This window comes from Homo sapiens, chromosome 2 (assembly GCF_000001405.40).
Source record: "Homo sapiens chromosome 2, GRCh38.p14 Primary Assembly".
Classification (NCBI taxonomy): Eukaryota; Metazoa; Chordata; class Mammalia; order Primates; family Hominidae; genus Homo; species Homo sapiens.
Window position 1 is genome coordinate 175448990 of NC_000002.12, and position 23269 is coordinate 175472258.

General features: G+C 41.2%; 1 long non-coding RNA gene across 1 annotated transcript, besides 1 other annotated feature; it reads left to right on the forward strand.

Moving 5' to 3' along the window:
- Nucleotides 1-5616: 5616 nt before the first annotated feature.
- Nucleotides 5617-22319, forward strand: LOC105373752 (uncharacterized). The gene is made up of 3 exons (XR_923596.2): nucleotides 5617-5695; nucleotides 20672-20804; nucleotides 22232-22319. It is a non-coding gene; the product is annotated as an uncharacterized LOC105373752 (long non-coding RNA).
- Nucleotides 15116-15590: a silencer, noted in NCBI's record as "fragment chr2:176328833-176329307 (GRCh37/hg19 assembly coordinates)". NCBI's record gives its function as "represses an EF-1alpha promoter that drives an FKBP-Casp9 reporter gene in an ReSE screen in phorbol 12-myristate 13-acetate-treated (for megakaryocytic differentiation) K562 erythroleukemia cells {active_cell/tissue: K562(+PMA)}" and the evidence as "EXISTENCE:reporter gene assay evidence [ECO:0000049][PMID:32094911]".
- Nucleotides 22320-23269: the final 950 nt, after the last annotated feature.

Consider the following 23269-nt stretch of genomic DNA (forward strand, 5'->3'; position numbering starts at 1 on the left):
AGTGGGGAGGGGGCACGGAGCCCACCCACAAAGAGGGCCTCCTGGAGACGCCAACCAGGAAGTTCTTGTTGTTCTACCCAGGAAGGCTTTAGTCCTGTTTTTCTGTTACCATAATTCAAGGTTAGTTTCCATGTCCTCTACACACAACATACACGGTATCATAAGCAAGAGATGAAAAGTTGGAAATTAGGACCTTTTAGGATTTGGAGCCAACACCCTCCATGGAGATATAGTGAGTTAAAAACACACACAACCCCAAAACTATTTATTATCTATCTATCTATCTATCTATCTATCTATCTATCTATCTATCATCTACCTACCTGCATACCATCTATCCTATATATGTATAAATCTGTGTGTGTGTGTGTGTGCGTGTGTGTGTATTTACCATTGGCACTAGAGTTCCTCTTAGGAAGGAAAGTCTTTAGGAAACAATCTTTAAATATGATTTGAGGGCAGGGGTTGGAAGAATACAGCAAACACAGATGGCTATACTTTCCTATTTCAGAAATGAAGAGTGGTGTGGGGAGAGATAGAGAGGAGAGGAGAGAGGAAGTGGCAAGAGAACCAGACAACAGACCCATTGTAGGAGGGTGAAGCCTACTCAGAAAGATGGTCATTGAGAAGTTTTCTGTGGCAGGGCAACCAGGAGATTTTAAAGAATGTCTAATACTCAATTTTAAGTTGCATAGTGCATTCCCCATTGTTTCAGAAATTATTGTTTGAAGAGTTCAGTAGGAAAGTAAGGAAACAGGATGGAGTTCCCTGGAGCTGGGAGGACAGAAGGGTGAGCAGAGAGAAGGGAACAGCCCAAAAGGCAAGAAGTGAGTGAGTCAACAGAAGCCAACAGTGACCATGAGAATATAAGCTCCTGGGAATTTTCAGGAATTGTGGGAAGGGAACTTCCACAGGATGTGGGATAGAAAGCTAGAGAGAATTTCATTTACATTTTAAATGCAGAGTAACCTCACCTGGCTTCCACAGACTCTGTAGTGAACAGCATCCATCTGTCACTGACATCTTACCCATTGAGTCTCTGTGTAGAGCTTCATATGTCTTGTCTTTAATAAGTATTCTCTGATTATGAAAATCCACATTTACTTGGACTTTGAAAAATAATTGGATCGAATAGGACTCTGGGAAAGTAGGAACTGTAATAATAAAAATTTCTCAGACTTATTGGAAAATCATTTCCTGCTTTGTATTCTCCTGGGGCCACTTCAGGGACAGGAATGAAAACTGCCCCTTGCGGGGTAATGAGATTCCCATTGCTGGAGGGTCTAAGCAGAGCCAGAGTGACCAGTTGACCTGAAGTTGTGCTGGGGTTTCATATGTCAGGTAGAAGCTGGACAGACAGGCTTCCAAGCCCTTCAAATGTTGAGCCCTATACCTGGGGGAGGGCTTAAAACTTTCAGAGAAGTTTAAAATATTCCAAGTGTCTGTGATTGTTTCTGAAGAGTGTATATTTGGCCCATCCCACAGCTCTCTGTTAATCTGTTCCAGCTTATACTAATTGTATTCTCATTATTTGGGAGGAAGGAAAGGAGACTTGGACCCTCTCCAAGAGGTGGGGTTGGCATGCAGCTCACCCTGTGGCACTTGTGGGAAGCAGCATCTGTCATGCTGGGGGACCTTCCAAGTTCCCATAGGACTGGGGAGTTGCAAGGGACCCTTCTGGTCTGTACCTGGATCCCATGACAGTGGGGGTTTGTGAAGCCATGTCACACCTGTTTGCAAAGATTTAGATTGGGATGGCTGGGGAAGAACCACACCACTAACATCTACAGGGGCAGAGCTATGGGTCTCAGGAAGTCTTGGGACTGAGGAGCTATGGGAATGAGGGGTGAAGGTGTAATTTCATTGGTGGGGACATAGCTGGGGCTTCTCCTGACAATCTATCATTCCTTTTTTCTCTTTTCTTAAAAACTCATCGTGAAACTGAGCTAATAGTCCTGTAGATAGTTTTTTGGATAAACAAGCATAAGACCTTCTGATCTTAAAGCTTGAACCTCACATTTGTTTTATCTGAGTTCTTTCCTCAGGAAACCACCTTCAGGCCTCTCAAAAAAAAGTATCAAAGAACTGAAACTCAACAGATCACCACATCCAGACAATGAGATGCTAGACCCCTCATTCATCATGATTGCTTCCTTGCCCCTCCCTATTTCCTATTTTCTTCCACATTGCTACATTTCTTCCCTGCTATATAAACCCCTAGTCTTAGTCTGTCAGGGAGATGGATTTGAGACTGAACTCCCATCTCCTTGGCTGCAGCACCTGATTAAAGCTTTCTTCCTTAGCAATAATCATTGTCTCAGTGATTGGCTTTCTGTGCAGCAAGCAGCAGGACCTAGACCAAACCCCTCGTGTTTCTGTAACAATTGCAGATAGACATGGAGTGGGGAATCACAGCTTTGCTCACACTGCAAGTCAGATATGCAGAGAAAATTCACTTTTAAAATTTGGCTCACACCTGTAATCCCAGTAACTCCAGAGGCCTAGGTGGGAGGATTGCTTGAGGCTGGGAGTTTGAGGCTGCAGTGAGCTATGATCACACCACTGCATTCCAGCCTGGGTGACAGAGTGAGACCCTGAGTCACTGATTTATTTCCTGATCTATTTTCTCTATGAAACCCTGCTCTGAGTATCAGGGGAAAAAAATATATATATATATATATATATATATATTTTTTTTTTTTTTTTTAGACAGGGTCTCATTCTGTCACCCAGGCTGGAGTGCAGTGGCTCAAGCACAGGCCACCTTAGCCTCCCGAGTAGCTGGGACTGCAGGCGTGTGCCACTACACCTGGCTAATTTTTGTTTTTTATTTTTGTGGAGGGGTTTCACCATGTTGTGTAGGCTTGTCTCAAACTCCTGGTCTCAAGCAATCAGCCTGTCTCGGCCTCCCAAAGTGCTAGGATAACAGGCATGAGCCACCATGCCTGGCAAAATATGTTTCATCTTACTCCAGTTTATAGCTTGGTCTGATACAATGATTTGCAAATAAATTTCCCTAACTCTGCTATGGTTGGAATGTATGTGTCCCTCTAAAATTCATATATTGGAACTTAAACCCCAGTGTGATAGTATTAAGAGGTGGGGTCTTTAGAGGTCATAAGTCATGAGGGTGGAACTGTCTATGAATGGGGTTAGTGACCTTGTAAAAGGGATAGGCTAGCCAGGCCCTTTTTTGCTCTTCCACTGCTTCCAACATATGAGGACAGCATTCGCCCCCTTTGGAGGATGCAGCAACAAGGCACTATCTTGGAAGCAGAAATTAGGTCCTCATCAGACACCAAATCTGTTGCCACCTTGATCTTGGATTTCCAGCTTTTAGAACCATGACAAAATAAATTACTGTTCTTTACAAATCACCCAGTCTCACATACTTTGTTATAGCAGCACGAACAGACCAACACACTCACAGATACCTCCCTACCTCTGCTTTTCTCCCTGAGGTGCTTCTAGATGTACGGGGAGCATGTGACCTCAGGACAGTTAGGTCTAAGTAGAGTCCTTACCCTGTCCACTGGTTCGGGACAGCAGTGTCCACACAAGTCCCTGGTCGGTGGGCATCTTGTTGACATTGGCAGTTGAGGTCCTTGGCTCATGTAACTTATGGTCTTGACATGCTCCTGGCTTGATGTGAGCATGGTAGTGCCCTGACTAAAGTCTGGTGGCAGCTCTTGGTGAGGCCCATGTAAGGTTGCCAGATTTTGCAAACAAAACTACAGGACACCTACTTAAATCTCAGTTGTCTATCTGAATTTCAGTTAAACAATGAATAATTTTAGTATATGTTCCAAATATTACATGTGATATGATTTGTTATTTATTTGAAATTCAAATGTAACTAGATGTCCTGTATTTTATCCAGCGAACCTCATCCCAGACCTAGTGCCCTTGGCAACAAAGACTGTGGCCCCTGATGAGGGAACCCTTTTGGCAGACTCAGCAGCTGTACCTTCAGGAAACTGCTTGGTCCCTCCACAAGGCATAGGCTAATTTCTCGGCACGTTTTATGCCCTAAGCAGTCAGGGATTTGCTGGGAGAGTTCAACTCAGGGCCTTTCTGGCTAAAAAACTGGGCTAGGCTGCCACTGCTTCTCTGATGAGGCCACCCCACATTGGTGCTGGGAAGTCCTTGAGCCCCAGTGGGCAAGGGGCAGGAGCCCTCTCTGCCCTTGGTGTCACCTCCCTCACTATTTACCTTTCCTCTTCTTCATCTTTTGCTTCTTCCTCCTGCTTCTTGCTCAAATCCTCCAGGCCGAAAGCAGTTTCTTTTTTTATCTCCCCTGTGTTATATCCTTTTTCTACCATTGTACAGCAAGCCTCATGCCTGGCTGCCATAGCAGAAAGAATATTTTCTTTGTATGACAGGAGAACTCAGTGATCTTCATTCTCCATCCTTGCTTCTGGTTATGTTAAAATGGAAGAAATAAAGAAATGTAGGAAACCCTATGTCAAGGTAATAATCTGGGTTGCATGACTGTTGTCTTGCTACAAAATCGTATGTTGAATGTCAGATATGTAATTTTTTTTTCCTTGCATTCCTTTGTACCTACCCTGTTCTCACCTTAGATACAAGGATATTGCCAGCTGATGGGGGAGAAGATCATGAGCTCAGAGATGCAACAGAGAAAAATCACATTAATAATTTTTTACAAGATTTCTTCATTATATGCTTGTTCGGAGGCAATCCTGACATAGATACTTCTACTTTGAGCTGTGTGCCCTCCTTCTCTACTTCTTGTAATATGAACTTCTATTATGAGAGAAGTTGGCTTTGTCTCCTCAAATCTTCAGGAGACAAATTAATTTCTGGGCATAAGATATTAAGTTTTTTTTAATGGAATTATGAAATTTCTCAAAGACACATAAAGGTGAAGGAAATTAAAGTAGCAGCATGCAAGTTTCTACCATACAGATAAGAATCTTTAGATAGGACCTACGAACTTCAAGTTTATAAAGACATCAATCAACCTTAAAAGATATAGGCCTGGCATGGTGGCTCACACCAGCAATCCCACCACTTTGGGAAGCTGAGGTGGGCAGATCACCTGAGTTCAGGAGTTCAAGACCACCCTGGCCAACATGGTGAAACTCTATCTCTACTGTCTCTAATAAAAATACAAAAATTAGCCAGGCATGGTGATGCATGCCTGTAACCCCAGCTACTGGAGAGGCTGAGGCATGAGAATCAGTTGAACCCGGGAGGTGGAGGTTGCAGTGAGCCGAGATTGCACCACTGCATTCCAGCCTGGGTGAAAGAGTGAGACTCCATCTCAAAACAAACAAACAAAAACAAATATAAAACACAAAAAAACTTTAAAAGATGTAAAAAATATTTAAAACTTTTTGCTGTCAGTCCAAATATCTTCTTTAAATTCTCCTAGTGTTTTTGGCTTCAGATTGTGCCACTCTAAAGTTAATAATCTAACTACAGGGCTAAAATCAAATTATTTGATAGGACACAATTGGGAGATGCAAAAATCAGGTACATAGGATGCATTCTATTGTTGACTTCCTGAAATGCCATTTGTAGGCTGAGGATTGAGAAGAAGAATATATAATATAATTCTTTTAGTTTGAAAATAAAATCATTTCTTACTTCAGGTAATCTGTATCTCTGGCCTCCTTGTCTGACTGAGTGGATTCATTGCTCCTGTATGTGTTATCACAGAAGTGAACTTGTAAGTAAATGACACTATAGAGTATCATTTATGCATTCTCAATACATGCTTCCATTTTTGTTTATGTATTTTTATTTCAGTAGTTTTTGGGGAACAAGTGGTATTGGGCTACATGAATAAATTCTTTAGTGGCGATTTCTGAGATTTTGGTGGACCGGTCACCTGAGCAGTGTACACTGTACCCAGTATGTAGTCTTTTATCCCATACCCTCTTCCTACTCTACCCTCTAAGTCCCCAAAGTCCATTATATCATTCTTATGCCTTTGCATTCTCATAGCTTAGATCCCACTTGTGAGTGACATTTATTTGGTTTTCCATTCCTGAGTTACTTCACTTAGAATAGTGGCCTCCAGCTGAGTTACTTCACTTAGAATAGTGGCCTCCAGCTGAGTTACTTCACTTAGAGTAGTGGCCTCCAGCTCCATCCAAGTTGCTGCAAAAGACATTATTTTGTTCCTTTTTCAATACATGCTGTTTAACTGCCCATGTTTCACGATGTTTCTTGTTTAGTTCAGAGAATGTTTGTGAAGGTAAATGGAACACAATCCAATGCAATTGCCTCATTCTGTGGATTGAGAAGGGGTGGAATGATCTCTTCTGGAGCCAGTGGGAGGCAGACCTGGGATTCAGAGCCCTTTCCTGCCTGGAGCAGCCTGGTGCTCTTCCCAGAACCGCCGCCTGGCACCACACCGCCTCCCTTCTGCTGATTAACAGAAACGAACCACCATACATTCTGGTATCAAGAATGTCGTAAAGTTTAAATTGGACTATCTTGTAATTAGCTACATTTTAAAGGTTTGGAGGTGGGCTCAGCACTTTGCTTCAGCACATTAACTGCTTCACAAGGAGAAAGAGGAATTTAAACAGAAGGCAAAAAGGGAAAACATGTTCTTTATTTGGGAGCAATGAAATCGGTTTCAATGATATTGGATTATAATGGGCCAATTTTTATCTAGAATCTGTGTCCCTGGAAACACAAACCTCAAAAAAAAATTTTCACATATTTTTTAGATTTTCCTCAACAATGGTATAGAAAGTTTACCTACTTGTGGCTATTTTTATATGCCTTGGGTTTTTTTTTTACATATAGCCTTTTCTAAGAAGCACTTATGTTCTGCATTGTCTTTTTTTTTTTTTTTGACAGAGTCTTGCTCTGTTGCCCAGGCTGGAGTGCAGTGGTGCGATCTCGGCTCACTGCAAGCTCCACCTCCCAGGTTCATGCCATTCTCCTGCCTCAGCCTCCCGAGTAGCTGGGACTGCAGGTGCCTGCCACCACGCCCAGCTAATTTTTTTTGTATTTTCAGGAGAAACGGGGTTTCACATGTTAGCCAGGATGGTCTTGATCTCCTGACCTTGTGATCCGCCCGCCTCAGCCTCCCAAAGTGCTGGGATTACAGGTGTGAGCCACTGTGCCTGGCCCTGCATTGTCTTAATAGAAAGAAGATATTTATTTGTCTTAATGGAAAGAAACTTAGAGGTAGAAATACCAGTTGACCCAGCAATCCCATTACTGGATATATACCCCCCAAAATATACATTTTTCTATGATAAAGATACATGCATGTGTATGTTCATTGCAGCACTATTCACAACAGCAAAGACGTGGAATCAGCCTAAATGCCCATGAATGACAGACTGGATAAAGAAAATGTGGTACATATACACCATGGAATACTATGCAGCCATAAAAATTAACGAGATCATGTCCTTTGCAGGGACATGAATGGAGTTGGAAGCCATTATCCTCAGCAAACTAATGCAGGAACAGAAAACCAAACACTGCATGTTCTCACTTATAATTGGGAGCTGAATGATAAGGACACATGGACACATGGTAGGGGAACAACACACACTGAAGCCTGTTGGTGGCGGGGACTGGGGGAGTGAGAGCATTAGGAAGAATAGCTAATGCATGCTGAGCTTAATACCTAGGTGATGGGTTGATCTGTGCAGCAGACCACCACTGTACACCTTTACCTAGGTATCAAACCTGCACATCCTGCACATGTACCCCTGAACTTAAAATAAAAGTTGAAAAAAAAAAGAAGATCCAAATTTTTTATGTCCAAATTTAAGACGCTCCATGATCTAATTATATTTCTAAGTATGTGTACTGTATTACTTCTATTTTTGCCTCTGATTTTCAAATTGTACCAGCTAACACCGATTTGTTGCTTTTTTTGTGGGGTTGGGGGGCTTATTTGTTTTTTCCACTTTTTTTTAATTGTTAATTTTTTAGAGTACATAGTACGTGTACGTATTTGTGGCATATGTGAGATATTTTGGTATAGGCATGCAATGCATAATAATCACATCATGGGAAATTGGGTCTCCATCCCCTCAAGAATTAATCCTTCATGTTATGAACAGTTCAATTATGCTCTTTTAGTTATTTTTACATGTACAATTAAATTATTATTGACTAGAGGAGCCAGGCGCAGTGGCTCAACACTTTGGGAGGCTGAGGTGGGTGGATTGCTTGAGCCCATGAGTTCAAGATCAGCCTGGGCAACATGACGAAATCCCATCTCTACTAAAAATACAAAAAATTAGCCAGGTGGACATGGTGGCACATGCCTGTAGTCCCAGCTACTCAGGAGGCTGATGTGGGAGAATCATCTGAGCCCAGGAGGTCGAGGCTGCAGTGAGATCACACCACTAGATCGGGTTGCACTTCAGCCTGGGCAACTGGAGTGAGACCCCGTCTCAAAAAATAAAAATAAAATACAAATTAGAAAATTATTATTGACTATAGCCCTCCTGTTGTGCTATCAAATACTAGATCTTATTCATTCTTTCTATTTTTGTTTTTGGCTTCACTAATTTTTAAAACTTTACTCATACTTCAAAAAGCAGCTCAAATGCTTCTTTCTTCATAAAGCCCTTCCCTATCTGTATTTCTGTGTCTACCCTCTACAAAATGAATGTGTACATCATTGGTGTTCCCATAGTATATTATTTATAATTAAAATATACCAAATAAATAACATGTGGAAAACTTGCCCCTTTATCAAATACACTCTTACTATTTCACTTAATTGCCGCACTTGCAATATTCTGCGTTACTACTTGGGTTAGCATCTTAGCTCTTTTACTGACGTGTAAGAACCTTTATAGTGAGGCACCACTTTCCTATTTGATTTTGTGCAATCCACTGTTTTATGTTTTGCACATGGCAAGTGTCCCATTTGATATTTATTGGCACTGAGTTGATAGTGGAGTCCATACCGACCCGAAGGGATTAAGTTCCTAAATGTAAATAGATTTTTTTCTTGTCCTCAGATGAAGGCTCTAGGAGTGACCCCAGCTCTAACATTGCCCCAGCCGGCACTGCTAGCCTCAAATTCCACCTCCGACTTTGAAGTCTGGCAGCCACCTCAGAGCCTTAATAGGGAAAGCCGTGACTTGCTGGGTAATAACACACTGCCTTGGAATAATCATTTTCAAATGAATCAACAACAGCAGCTATTTGCCTGATCTAATTAGCATCACCTTTTTTGAGCAGGCAGAAAAAGGTTGGCATATTCTGTATGATGCAACATGCAGCAAATTATATAGACAAGGCAACATCACAGGGTCAGACGCTCACCTCCATGGCTGAGGGCTTTCTGGCAGTCTTTTTTTTTCCTTCCTCCTTTCTGCACCAGCTCAATAAATTGCTTGCATCATTTCAAGTATTATAGAATTGCAGGATATCCTTAATTTGAAACTTAGCCCAAATATGGTTTCTGTAGTTAAGGAGACTTGCTTCACAGGAGCGTTGCAAGAGCAAAGGTGCAATTCTCTTCACATCCAAGAATATTTGAAAGCAATTTAACCTGAGTGAGAAATTAACTCTGCTTATTTACCTGGCAGGAATGTCAAGAAAGAACACTGTTACCCTTTTGTTCCTTCTAAGAGGCTTTTGTTTCCAAAGTAGAGTTCTGTAGATATTCTGTAAGGAGGAAGGCTTCACTGAAGAGAGAACAGGCAGAAGGGATGAGAATGATTTCCTAAAACTGGAAAGAAGATGCACATACGGCTGATGGTTGAAGGCAGTGTTCTCTCTCACTTAGAGGAGGTAGCATGGCCTTGGATGGAGGAATGAATTCTAAGGTAGTGGTGTGCTGGAGCCAGCCTGGCAAAGAAATCTGTTCCCCAATGCAATCACAGTGGACTGAGAATCCAGCCTTTCCCCACATTTTTCAGGACCATGTAAGGGCTTTCTCAATCCCTGACTCTTTTAAGACTCTAAGATAGGGAATTACCACCCTACAATGACTGAAATTGAATGTTCTGTCCACCCTTGTGAGATTGAGGCCAGATATCATTTGGTTTACAAAAATAAAATGTAGGCCAGGTGTGATGGCTCACGCCTGTAATCCCAGCACTTTGGGAGGCTGAGGTGGGTGGATCACCTGAGGTCAGGAGTTCAAGACCAGTCTAGTCAACATGGTAAAAACCCATCTCTACTAAAAAAAACAAACAACAAAAAAAAAACAAAAATTAGCCAGGAGTGGTGGCAGGCTCCTATAATCTCAGCTACTCAGCAGGCTGAAGCAGGAGAATTGCTGGAACCAGGAGGCAAAGGTTGCAGTGAGCCAAGATCATGCCATTGCACTCCAGTCCGGGCGACAACAGTGAGACGTCGTCTCAAAAAAAAAAAAAAATGTAGACTCTAGAGCCAGACTTTCTGTGTTCATAAATCTGGCTCTGTCACTTGCTAGTTGTGTGAGCTTGGGCACATGCCTCAATTTCCTCATCTTTTAAATGGAAACATTATTAGGCTGGTGTAAAAGTAATTGCGGTTTTTGCCATGACTTCTTTTTTTTTTTTTTTAATTATACTTTAAGTTTTAGGATACATGTGCACAATGTGCAGGTTGCCATGACTTTTAACGGCAAAACCAATGCATCAATCTAATATATAATCTTTGATATGGTTTGAGTGTGTCCCCACCTAAATCTCAACTTGAATTGTATCTTCCAGAATTCCCACGTTTTGGGAGGGACCCAGGAGGAGGTAATTAAATCATGGGGGCTGGTTTTTTCTGTGCTATTCTCATGATAGTGAGTAAGTCTCACGAGATCTGATGGGTTTATTAGGGCTTTCTGCTTTTGCTTCTTCCTCATTTTCTCTTGCTGCCATCATGTAAGAAGTGCCTTTTGCTTCCTGCCATGACTCTGAGGCCTCCCCAGCCATGTGAAACTGCAAGTCCAATTAAACCTCTTTTTCTTCCCAGTCTTGGGTATGTCTTTATCAGCAGTATAAAAACAGACTAATATAGTTAATTGGTACCAATAGAGTGGGGAGTTGCTAAAAAGGTACCCAAAAATGTGGAAGCAACTTTGGAACTGGGTAACAGGCAGACATTGGAACAGTTTGGAGGGCTCAGAAGAAGACAGGAAAATGTGGGAAACTTTAGAAGTCTGTAGAGACTTGTTGAATGGCTTTGCCCAAAATGCTGATAGTGATATGGACAATAAGGTGCAGGCTGAGGTGATCTCAGATGGAGATGAGGAACTTGTTGAGAACCGGAGTAAAGGTGACTCTTGTTATGTTTTAGCAAAGACACTGGTGGCATTTTGCCTCTGCTCTAGAGATTTGTGAAACTTTGAATTTGAGAAAGATGATTTAGGGTATTTGGCAGAAGAAATTTCTAGGCAGCAAAGCATTCAAGAGGTAATTTGGGTGCTGTTAAAGGCATTCAGTTTTATAAGGGAAGCAGAGCATAAAAGTTTGGAAAATTTGTAGCCTGACTATGCAATAGAAAAGAAAAACCCATTTCCTGAAATTCAAACTAGCTGCAGAAATTTGCGTAAGTAGCAAGGAGCCTAATGTTAATCCCCAAGACCATGGGGAAAATGTCTCTAGGCCATGTCAGAGACCTTCATGGCAGCCCCTCCCATCACAGGCCTGGAGGCCCAGGAGGAAAAAGTGGTTTTGTGGGCCAGACCCAGGGTCCCTGTGCTGTGTGCAGCCTAGGGACTTGGTGCCCTGTGTCCCAGCCACTCCAGCCACGGCTGAAAGGTGCCAACATACAGCTCAGGCTGTGGCTTTGGAGATTGGAAGCCCCAAGCCTTGGCATATTCCATGTGGTGTTGAGCCTCAAAGCACACAGAAGTGAAGAATTGAGGTTTGGGAACCTCCACCTAGATTTCAGAAGATGTATGGAAATGCCTGGATGCCCAGAAAAAAGTTTGCTGTAGGCACAGGGCCCTCATGGAGAACATCTGCTAGGGCAGTGTGGAAGGGAGATATGGGGTAGAAGCCCCCACACACAGTCCCTACTGGGGCACCGCCTAGTGGAGCTGTGAGAAGAGGGCCACTGTCCTCCAGACGCCAGAATGGTACATCCACCTACAGATAGCACCGTGTGCCTGGAAAAGCTGCAGACAATCAATGCCAGCTTGTGAAAGCAGCTGGGAGGGAGGCTGTACCCTGCAAAGCCACAGGGGTAGAGCTGCCTAAGACCATGGGAACCAACCTCTTGCATCAGCATGACCTGAATGTGAGATATGGAGTCAAGGGAGATCCTTTTGGAGCTTTAAGATTTGACTGCCCTACAGGATTTTGGACTTGCATGGGGCTTGTAGTCCCTTTGTTTTTGTCAATTTCTCTCATTTGGAATGGCTGTATTTACCCATTGCCTGTACCCCCATTGTATCTAGGAAGTAACTAACTTGCTTTTGATTTTACAGAGTCATAGGTGGAAGAAACTTGCTTTGTCTGGGATGAGACTTTAGGCTGTGGACTTTTGAGTGAATGCTGAAATGAGTTAAGACCTTGGAACACTGTTGGGAAGACATGACTGATTTTGAAATGTGAGGACATGAGATTTAGGAGGGGCCAGGGTGAAATGATATGGTTTGGCTGTGTCCCCACCCAAATCTCAACTTGAATTTTATCTCTCAGAATTCCCACATGTTGTGGGAGGGACCTAGGGGGAAGTAATTGAATCATGGGGGCCAGTCTTTCCAGTGCTATTCTCGTGACAGTGAATAACTCTCATGATACCTGATGGGTTTATTAGGGGTTTCTGCTTTTGCTTCTTCCTCATTTTCTCTCGCTGCCATGTAAGAAGTGCCTTTTGCCTCCCGCCATGATTCTGAGGCCTCCTCAGCCACGTGGAACTGTAAGGCCAATTAAATCTCGTTTTCTTCCCAGTCTCGGCTATGTCTTTATCAACAGCATAAAAATGGACTATAACAATCTTCTTTATAAGGTTGCTGAGAGGATAGAGTTGATATGTTGAAGCCTTGAAAGCAGGGCCTAGCCTATGTGAAGCACCATCTAAACACTCATCCCACTGTTGCTGCTGGGGTCATATTACATAGGCATATTTACACATGCTGAATGAATAGCCCTAGTACTGCGTGTGTGTCCAGAGGGCAAGTAATTTGAGGGAAGTGTCAATGTCTACATTTCTTTATCTTTGCCCTTGCATTGCTTCTGCGCTTTCGTTACACTTCCTGTTACAGTTTGAACATGCACGTTTCTTACGTCCACATCTCTGTAGCTCTCCCAGTTCCTGACACATGGTAAGTACACAGCAAACAAGTTTCAGGTTGAACTGAATTTAGATCTGTTGTATGGTATTCAGCAAAGTGCTCAGGTCTAGTCAAGGGCTTTCTGATGATACTGATTGAAAAACAATCACAATGATTTATTAAAGGGCCTAAAATAATGTGGCTCCTTGGTCAAGAGGAAAGCGAGGTCCGAAGAAAGTCATTACCATAAGGTCACATGGATATTTAGAGGCAGAGTTGGCTCCCTGAGGTTTCCTCCTCAAAAGCCTCCAGGTTTGAGGAACCAACTAGTGCTTCCTTAAAGAGCAGCCCAAGGCCATAAGACCTTTGTCAAAGAATTCAAAGGAACCCTGGGTTGCTCCTGGCCCAAATGTTGGGGAAGGGGGTCAGCTTTCACAGTAAGCGGAGATTTCAGGGGGGACTGGATTTATTAACTAGAATAGCTGACAAACTTTTCTTTTCCTCCTCCAGTCATAGAAAAGCATCTGGCCAAAGATGCCATTCTTCAATTCAGAGGGAAGACTTTCTGGAGCTTCATGGCTTAACAGTTAACCGAGTATCCTTGTAACAGCTAAGTACCCTTAGCTTAACAAATAAAAAAACTGAAACGCATTTGGAAAGACAAAGGCTACGTAGCAGGAGTCAGCTTTCTAGATTAATATTACAACAACATAAACAACAATCAACATTGATTGGGCACTAGGTTCTGTGCTGGGTTTGTTCCTATGTCATTTCATTCAATCCTCACAGGAGTCCAAGGAGATGCACTATTATTTTCTTCATGTCACAGATGAGGAAATGAGAATGAAGATGTCGAGTGACTATTCCAAAGGCATAGTAAGGAGTACCCAGCCTTTGAACCCTCCTTTCTGAATGGAAGTGTCCCTCTAATCATCCTTGCTAAACATTATAGCTTCAAAATTAAAGAATGGCCAAACTTGGCCATAAAGGAGTAGGAGTAAATAAAGATGATGACTGGAGCTAAAATATAGTCACTTATCTCTGAAATAATGGTCACAGTGAGGAAGAAATTCAAAATCCGTACTTTAACTTTTGTTGTTGTTGCGTTTAGTCTCTATCAAGGTTAAAATTATAGCATTTAAAATGCCAGTGTTAAGAGAAAAAAAAAGGAAAATGCTGTGTGAAGTTAGCAAGAGAAAGAGGACCATTAAAACAGCAGGAATGAATAAAACTCAGAAAGCATGAAACAAGATGAGATCAGTCAGCTCAAGCTTCCTAGTCATGACTGCAGGGAGAGGCCAAGCTCTATTTTCCCCATTTAACTGTAAATCCAGACAAAGTGACAGAGAAAGGTTAGAAGTAAAAGGTAGAGCAAGAGGTTACCTTAAAAATACAAATAAAAGAAGGCCAAGGACATGTTATCATTAATATCGTATATTGTGGAAATCAAAGGAAAAACAAAGCATTAAGCAGAGGACAATTTTTAAGTGAAGGTTAGAGTCTCCAGTGAAGATGACAGGGGGGCCCTTATGCACAGTAGTTGCAAAACAAACTATTCTGTAGACTAGCCCAGCCTTGGAAACCACAGACCCTGCTGGTTTAGCAATAGTATTTTAGACACTTGGCCAACATATCCTCCTGCCCTGGGGCCCAAGCCCTACAAACGGTTCCAAGGTATTTCTTTATTTGCTTCCTTCCCTAACCCTTCTTGTGATGCCTGTAAACACACCGCACAATTACAAAGTCGCAGCAGCCCACAATATTGGAACAGAGACACCCTGTTAAATGTGTTCCTGACAGCTGCGAGCCCCTTTTATATTTCAATTATAAGATCAACAACTGTAACTGCTGGCAGACCATTACCACCCAGAGTTTGGGGAGTTCTGGGGATAGCACGGCTGTGCCCTGCTCACTGTGGAATCCCCTGAGGGAGGAGGACTGGCTGGGAGAGGCTCTCCATCTCCTCAGCTGGCCAAGCCTTGCATCACACCTGAAGGACAAGCTCAAGAGCAAACACGAAAGGCTCAAGGCCGCAGCGACTGAGATCGTGGGGCTGGAGCCTGCACCAGCAGCCTCGCCAGAGCCCTGAATGTGCTTTGGTTTTCTTTCGTTTTACCTTGCTCAAACTTGGACACTGAGATCCTTATACTGGAAGTTAGGAAAGAAAAAGGCTTGGTATTCCCTGCTAGTTCTTAATTCAAAAAAGGACTCTAAAAATTCTGCTGGAAAGGCCAGACCCATGCTCTCCCCGTGTGAAGGCAAAGAGCCTCATGCTGCCGCAGTGGCCATGGCAGCCGGCAATTTCCCCACTCAGCCTTGGGCTCTGGTCTGTGGTGTAGGGTCCTGTGGGCCTTCCTTCGCAATGTCACCAAATGGGGATATGCTGCCTGGTTCATGTGAGTCTCCACCTGTGCTCACGCCTGCTGGATCATCAGCCAAATGGAGCTCCTGACAGTTCCAAAATAGCGATAAGGCGGGTTTCCATTGAAGGCCTTGCTTCCTAGAACCTCTGTTCCCATCCAAATCACCCCTGTTCTTTACTTTTAAAACTTAAATTAAACTGACCCTCAACACAAAAAGATTTCACTGAATTTTCTCGTTTAAATGTCATTTGAAGTTAAGTCCAGTTAGCAAATATTTATTGAGCTTCTGCCAAGATCTGGTTTCTTCGTCTTCAAGGAGCTTAGAACCAGTAGAAAGACAATTTACTATCCATTACCTTACCTTTTGGTTATAAAGCACAGATGTATGTATTTTTTTTAGAAATTACACATTCAGAAGTGTTGCTTGCCAAAGGCCTCCTACGATTTCACCCAGAGCTCATTTAGCCATTTGCAGTGTTTCCTAAAGAGAACAGCCTGCGATTGCCGCATTCACTTCAAAACCCTGGCCACCCATATTCATTCCCTTGAGAACTCTGAAAAGCTACATTTCACAGATTAAGACTTTTATAAAGAAGCCTTACTAATTAGCCTGGCTCTCCAAAACTGGGTCCTAAAAAATCAGGCCTAGGAGGAATCAAAAACTACATGAGATGTTTTTTTAAAAACTCACATTCTTTACAGCATTCTTTTTAAGACTATCCATGCCCTTTGTGTACAGAAACACTCAGTGCCAACATTGATTTTCATGTATGGGATAAACTGAAGAGAATATGGTCAGGGTGGTGTGTGTCTTTGAAACAGATTTGTGGAGTGCACTTCATTTGTATAACTTGGATTATTTTCTTGCCAAATGTATGTTTATGGCAAAACACATGCAAATTTGAGTGTGTGTTTGTGTGTATGTGTGTATGTGATCTTAGTCAGATGCATTATTACAGAGGCCCCCTTCAATGACCCAGGGAAACCTGCACAGTATGTGAGAATGTGTCTGACACCCTGACAAAACCATTTATATTCAAAAATCTGCTTTCACAGGAATTAAATCTTTAAACCAATATATTTTAGATACTTAACTCATTGCCTGGAAAAAAAGTTTCACGTTCCACATACTAAATCCTTATTTGAATCTAGTCTGTATATCAATATTTTGATGGTGAGCTTTTTTCAAAAAAGGAGTTTTTAAGGTAAACTTCTAATTTAAAAAAATTAGAAGTTTGTAAAGTGTTTTGGCAATAAAGATTTGAAATTTGAATTTGATAAAGATAGGCTGGAGAAAGATGATCTTCCACAATAATCAAGTGTTCTTTGTGTATTGGATAAGTAGCTATTAGTAATATAGGTCTGTATTAGTCTATTCTCATACTGCTAATAAAGACATACCCAAGACCAGGTAATTTATAAAGGAGAGAGGTTTAATTGACTCACAGTTCAGCATGGCTGGGGAGGCCTTAGGAAACTTGCAATCATGGTGGAAGGGGAAGGAAACACGTCCTTCTTCACTTGGCAGCAGCAAGGAGAAGTGCTGAGCAAAAGGGATAAAACCCCTTATAAAACCGTCAGATCTCATGAGAACTCACAATCATGAAACTGCATGAGAGTAACTGTCCCCATGATTAAATTACCTCTCACTGGGTCCCTCCCAGGACATGTGAGGATAATGGGAGCTACAATTCAAGATGAGATTTGGGTGGGGTCACAGCCAAACCATATCAAGGTCCGTCTACAATTCTAAAACTCCAAAGCCTTAAACTTTTTGGAATGTATTTGGCAGCAAAATCTAAGCTAAACCAACATGAGCCTATTATAGCTTTATTTCTTCTACTTTGGGTGAAGAGTCATGTATTTTCCTGCAGAAACATTAAGTGTTGATTCTGGAGTGCTGCCCCACACCCTGTCGGGGTGTTACAGAAGTTCATGTACCACATTATCTTTTTAGCCTCTAAATAATTCTAGATTCTGAAACACATCTGGCCAGAGGTTTCAGATGGATTTTGGACCTGTAAAATCATACTGTAGTGGACACTATTACATTTTTCTGTAGGGTTCTATCTCACTATTTGTTCTTACTGAGAGAGCCCATTTATGCATGGTATTTACACAAAATTTGTACCTGGTTGCTCTGAGGATGGGGTTTATTTTCTGGAGATATTATTTCCTTACCAATTTTCTTATCAATTTTCCTCCATCTTTATAACTATTGGGTGTTTTACCCACATCTTCAGTTCAGTTCAGCATGTATTGCTTGCCTCTTCTGTCCAGGCACCATGCTTGGTGCCAGGAGGGATGCAGACATGAGTAAGATACTGTGAACCACTTAAGAGCAACCTGGTGGCAGTTGTAGACATGTAAATAACATTCATCTTTTAGGAAAGGTTAAATGTTATAAAGGGCAGAGTTACAAACAAAATGCTGAGGGATCAAAGAGGAAGAATAATACACGTCAAGGGAGGCTTCACAGAGGAGGTAACATTTGAGCTTAAGCATCCATGCCTTGAAGGATCTTGAAATTTTCACATGAGAAGAAGGGAGAAACCCTGACCTTTATTATGTTTTTAAGGATACTTATATTAAAAAAGAGAAAGAAAACAGACATTTCAAAGCAGGGCTACAAAAACGGAGATATATTTTAATGTTTACTTTGAATGCTTTTTGCATAGAAAATGCAATGCAATAAAATTGTAGTCGTGGGATAATTGGATTACCCCACGGCTATAATATCCCAAGTTGTTGGATTGCAGAAAAAAAAATGTTTATGTCAAGTATCCTATAGAGTGATCTGGTTTAAAGTGATATAATGGACCCCATCTTTGAATCCCATCAGTTATCTCTATGACTGTATGTATTGACTAATTTGAAGATGAGATAAATGTCTAAGTTTAAAGGCCCACATTAAAGTGAGACCAGTATGAAAGGAAAACTTCCAAGTCCCTTGACACCTGTCCCAGCACCCCTACTTCCCCATTAAGTCTACGATGTTTGGAGGAATCCAGGCAAGGGATGTGGCATAGACAGAGGCAATGTAAGTATGTCCTAGGGGAAGACACATAAACTATACTCAGCTATGCTCAGTTTTGTGAACATGCTTGGCTTTCTACCTCTTTTGTGCCTTATCATATGCTGACCACTCCTTGCACAAAATGTTCTATACTACTGCCAATATCAGCCCCAAAAGAATAAAATGGTCTTTTTTCCTGTTGTTACTAGACCTCTATGTTAGCTAGACTTTAACTGATCATGCCGTATTGTCATAATTCCAATGCATATTTCCCCCTTGAGGGCATGGGTCTTTTGTACACCTAGGTACAAAATTATCAAAGTTGCTGGCATATAATACCTCTCAATAAGTTAAGTGAGTGTATAAAATATAGGTTGAGGCCAGATGGTGGAAGGCCTTCAATGCCAAGTGACTGAAGCTTAGATTTTATTTTGTACATGTATCATTCAGGATATGCTGAATTATGTTACAAGCAAACTCCAAATTTCACTGACATAACACAAAGTTTATTTCCTGCTCACATCACATGTCCATTGAAACCAAAAGAAGGCCTCTGCTTCTTGTCATCACCCAGGCATCTGGGATGAGGGAGGCTTCATCTTGATGTGTGTTTCCAGTGAACACCGCACCAGTGTGGCACATCACACAGTGCTTCTTAAACATCTTGCCCTTTGTCGCTTCCACTCATGTTGTACAGACCAAAGCAATTCACATGACCACACCTCGTTTCAGAGGAGGTAGGAAAGAACAATCCTAGAACAATCCTATTCTGGAAGTTCAAAAGCCAGAATGATCAGGTCAAGAGAACGAATGACAACTTCAGCAGGGAACAGGGAGTCATACAAAGTTCTTCTAAAAACAGAAAACTGGAAACATACGGTTGAGAATACAAATAAGGTGTGAAGGAGCGCATAGATTACCTGAAATTGGGTGCTTGGGGAAAGAAAGCTGGGAGACACATCGGACTCACAGAGAGCTTGGAGTTTAGGGATCTCTTAGCAGTCCTTGCACTGAACTGTGCCTTCACATTAAGCAAGATACTTATTCTGGCTTCGCTTCAGTACCTCCAAGGGGAAAAGAGATACAAAGATGGTAATGTATACCGCCTTCCTGTTAGTCTGAGGGTTAATGAAAGTTGGGGGAAGAGGCACTTAACTCCCTGTTTGCTATTCAATTCTAGAGACAGCTGCCTCTTAAACAAAACGAGCCTTTTGCTTTGAGTCCATAGTACATTTCCACAGTGACAAATTCTGCCAAGCTCACCAAAATTTGAGCTAAACCTGAATAATAAGTTGACCATTTGTTTTATGAATTGGATGTGCATCCTGCCAAGTTTTCCAAGTGGTTATGACAACAGAATCCCTCATCTATAATATCCATCCACAGCCCTCATCTGTAGCTCCCTTGTTTGTTCTGAAGATAATATATTGATTGTGTCTCTTTCGATGGCATTCCTTCCATGCTTCTCACATGAGGAAGAGTTACTGCTGTTTTCCCCAGGAGACCTAAAATGACTGCATTTTTACACATGTTATTTACTGTATACGTTCTAATATCAAAATGGTCAATTCATTTATAATCTTTTTAACATGCCTTAGAGAATAAAGGGTCTGTTATTATGTTTTGTTTATACGAGGAGCTTTTTTCTTTTTTTGCATTTAAGTTTTACTTTACAACACATAATTGATCTTGTGCCCATGAATAGTTAACATTAATTATGCACAATTAGCATATGATAATGAATGACACACGTTTCGAGCAAATATTAGACAGCATAATTATACTATTATTGCGTTCAGCTATGCAGATTCACAAAATATGATGGTGTGTTCATCTCTATTGAATCCATTTACCTGGACTAAAGTGATGACTTAAAAATGAACACAGTAGAAAATAAATGCAGGTAAGTCAAATACTGTTAAGCACTAAAGAATATTTCCAAGCGGCAAGAGCTGAAGGTCGGTAGACCAGTTCTTTTGCTTTTAGCTAGCAGGATATTTTAGATGCACATTGTAGGATTTTGGAGCTCAGTTTAAAAATCCTTCAGAATTCAAGGGTTGTTTTATGTAAAGTGTTCTGACAGGCAAAATGATTCCTTTTTAAACATAATTCACCTCTGCTCTGCAGGCCTCTTGTGGAGAACAAAAACATCTATTCAGAGTAACAACTGTTTTTGGTATGCACAGAATTTAAGGTGCTTAAGAAGATGGGAAGCCCTACAACATTATGCCGTTGGTCTAAAAGCACCAGATGAAATCAGGTGAGAGAAATAAGGCTTGGAGAAATCCTCTCACTGGCTAGAATTATCAACAATAGCTTGACTGTCTTTTCAAGTGTTCTTTCATTATGGCACTTAATTTTTTTTCAAGTAAAACAAGATAAACAAGTAGGCTGTGATTGAACTTTGACTTTCTAGTTAAGAATTCGCTATTTGAAGAGTCTATTCGCCTCACAAAAATGAGACTTCCTTTACAAAGAACCACAAAAGCCCAAAGTAAAGATAACCTTATATTTCCCAGATTGTGAGCATAGAAAATTATTCCGAGTCGTCACACAAACCAATTTTCGCACCTGGACTTGATCCAGGTACACGGCTGATAGAGACACACTCTGCCCTCCTCCTCCTCTCTTTTTTGTGTACTCATATTAACTTTGAGGAACCCATCTTGAGAGCTCTTGGCTGACTTCTATTTTAAGAACCTAGTTCAGCCATTATAATTAGTCCCTAGTTTGTCTGGAATCCTCTCGGGCATTCAAACTGTTCCAAGATCCTAAATAAGTCCTTTTCAGAATTTTCCACTGGAATATCCCTAATGGCAGAAGAAAGTCAACTTACCTTTGGGGGCCTGGGTCCCTAACTCAAAATGGAAAATGCTATTGAAGTCCTTTATTTTGCCATAAAGAAATAGAAAGTTCTGTATACACTTTGTGTTTTTCCATATAATAGATCTGAATTGTATTTTATTTTTTAAAACCGTTAATATTTTAAATTATTTATCATTGAGTAAAATGGATGGTCCAGGATGATACACTGTGCCTATAGCTTTGAGCATTCCCCAGCACACTGTTAAGGCGTGCTCTGAGGTACCAGTTCTCAGAATGGAGGCCTAGTCTGTTTCATGGAAAATCTTTTCATAAAACAAGCTTATCATTAAATATTTGCAATTGCAAACAATACTGCAAAGCAAGTGTTCATCAATAGGGAACAGATGACATTTTTTGTTGTGCCGCATCCAGACAGTGAATATCATACAACTGTTTAAAAGGATAAATACCATCTATTGTATTGTCAAGTAAAGATGTCCATAATGTAGTGTCAAGGGAAAAAGTTACAGAATGATATTATAGGGTGATCCCATTAATATATTTGTACAGTGCTTTTAAAATCTTTGTATGGAATAGGGTCTGGGAAAATTTCACTTTCCATGGGAATGCATTAATTATTTTGCACCAACTATGGATTATTGCAAATCTAAAACAACTTACGTAATCCCATTTTGAAAAAAAAGAAAAAAGCTTTGCACAGATTGTACCTGTGGTAAACCTAAACAAATACAAACAAACTCTCTAGATTCAGTTTTTTCATGGGAAATTTGTATAATCTTAACACTAGAAGAAAAGACAAATTGTAGTGTTCTGTACAAATTAGGAGTTTTTCTTTTGAGATGGTCTTACTCTGTTGTCCAGGCTGGAGTGCAGTGGCATGATCATGACTCGCTCCTTTTGGGATCAACTGATCCTCCTACCTCAGCCTCTGGACCAGCTGGGACCACAGGTGAGTACTACCGTATCTGGCTTTTTTTTTTTTTTTTAGAAGTTCGGCCTCACTATGTTGCCCAGGTTGGTCTTGAACTCCTGGGCTCAAGCAATCCTCCTGCCTTGGCCTCCCAAAGTGTTGGGATTATAGGTGTGAGCCGTTGCACCAAAAATAATTCCAGCCAGGAATTCTTTTTGTAGTACTCTTGATGAATTGTTATAAGGATTCATTTTGAATATTTCATCTGATGGAACACTGAGGTCATGTAGAAGAGGACCAAGAAGAAAACAAAAATTTACCCTATTCCTACCATGCAGAGACAACTCATAGGTCCTTTCTCATGTTGAACCGAATCTGGGCTCCTCTTCTCAATGGTCCTGGTTCTCTGTTCTAAAGATGGATTTCTAATAATGCATCTGTGCTCCCTCTTCTAGGTAACAGCCTCCGAACAGGTAAACGCAGATTGTACATTTCTCTTCAGTCTTCTCTAAATTAAGCAGAATTGACCTTCAAATATTCCTTAAAGCACACAGTTTCCTTTTGAGGCTTATAAATTTGACATTGCTCATCTTAAAGCCTGCTCCCAAATGATTGTGACCTTGTAACTAAGGTTTGACCATCATGAACAGTGATTGTCACTCTATATCTGTGGATCTAATTCAAAATGGAAAATTTCTTGGAAGTCTTATATTTTACCACATTAGTCTATGTATCTGTATTTTTAATTTAAAATTAATATTTAAAATTACCTAGTGTATTAGTCTGTTCTCAAACTGCTATAAAGACATACCTGAGACTAGGCAATTTATAAAGGAAAGAAGCTTAATTGACTCACAGTTCACTTCCACATGGCTGGGGAGGCCTCAGGAAACTTATGATCATAGTGGAAGGGGAAGAGGCACATCTTACATGGCAGCAGGCGAGAGAGATCAAGCAAGAGCAGGGAAAACTGCCTTATAAAACCATCA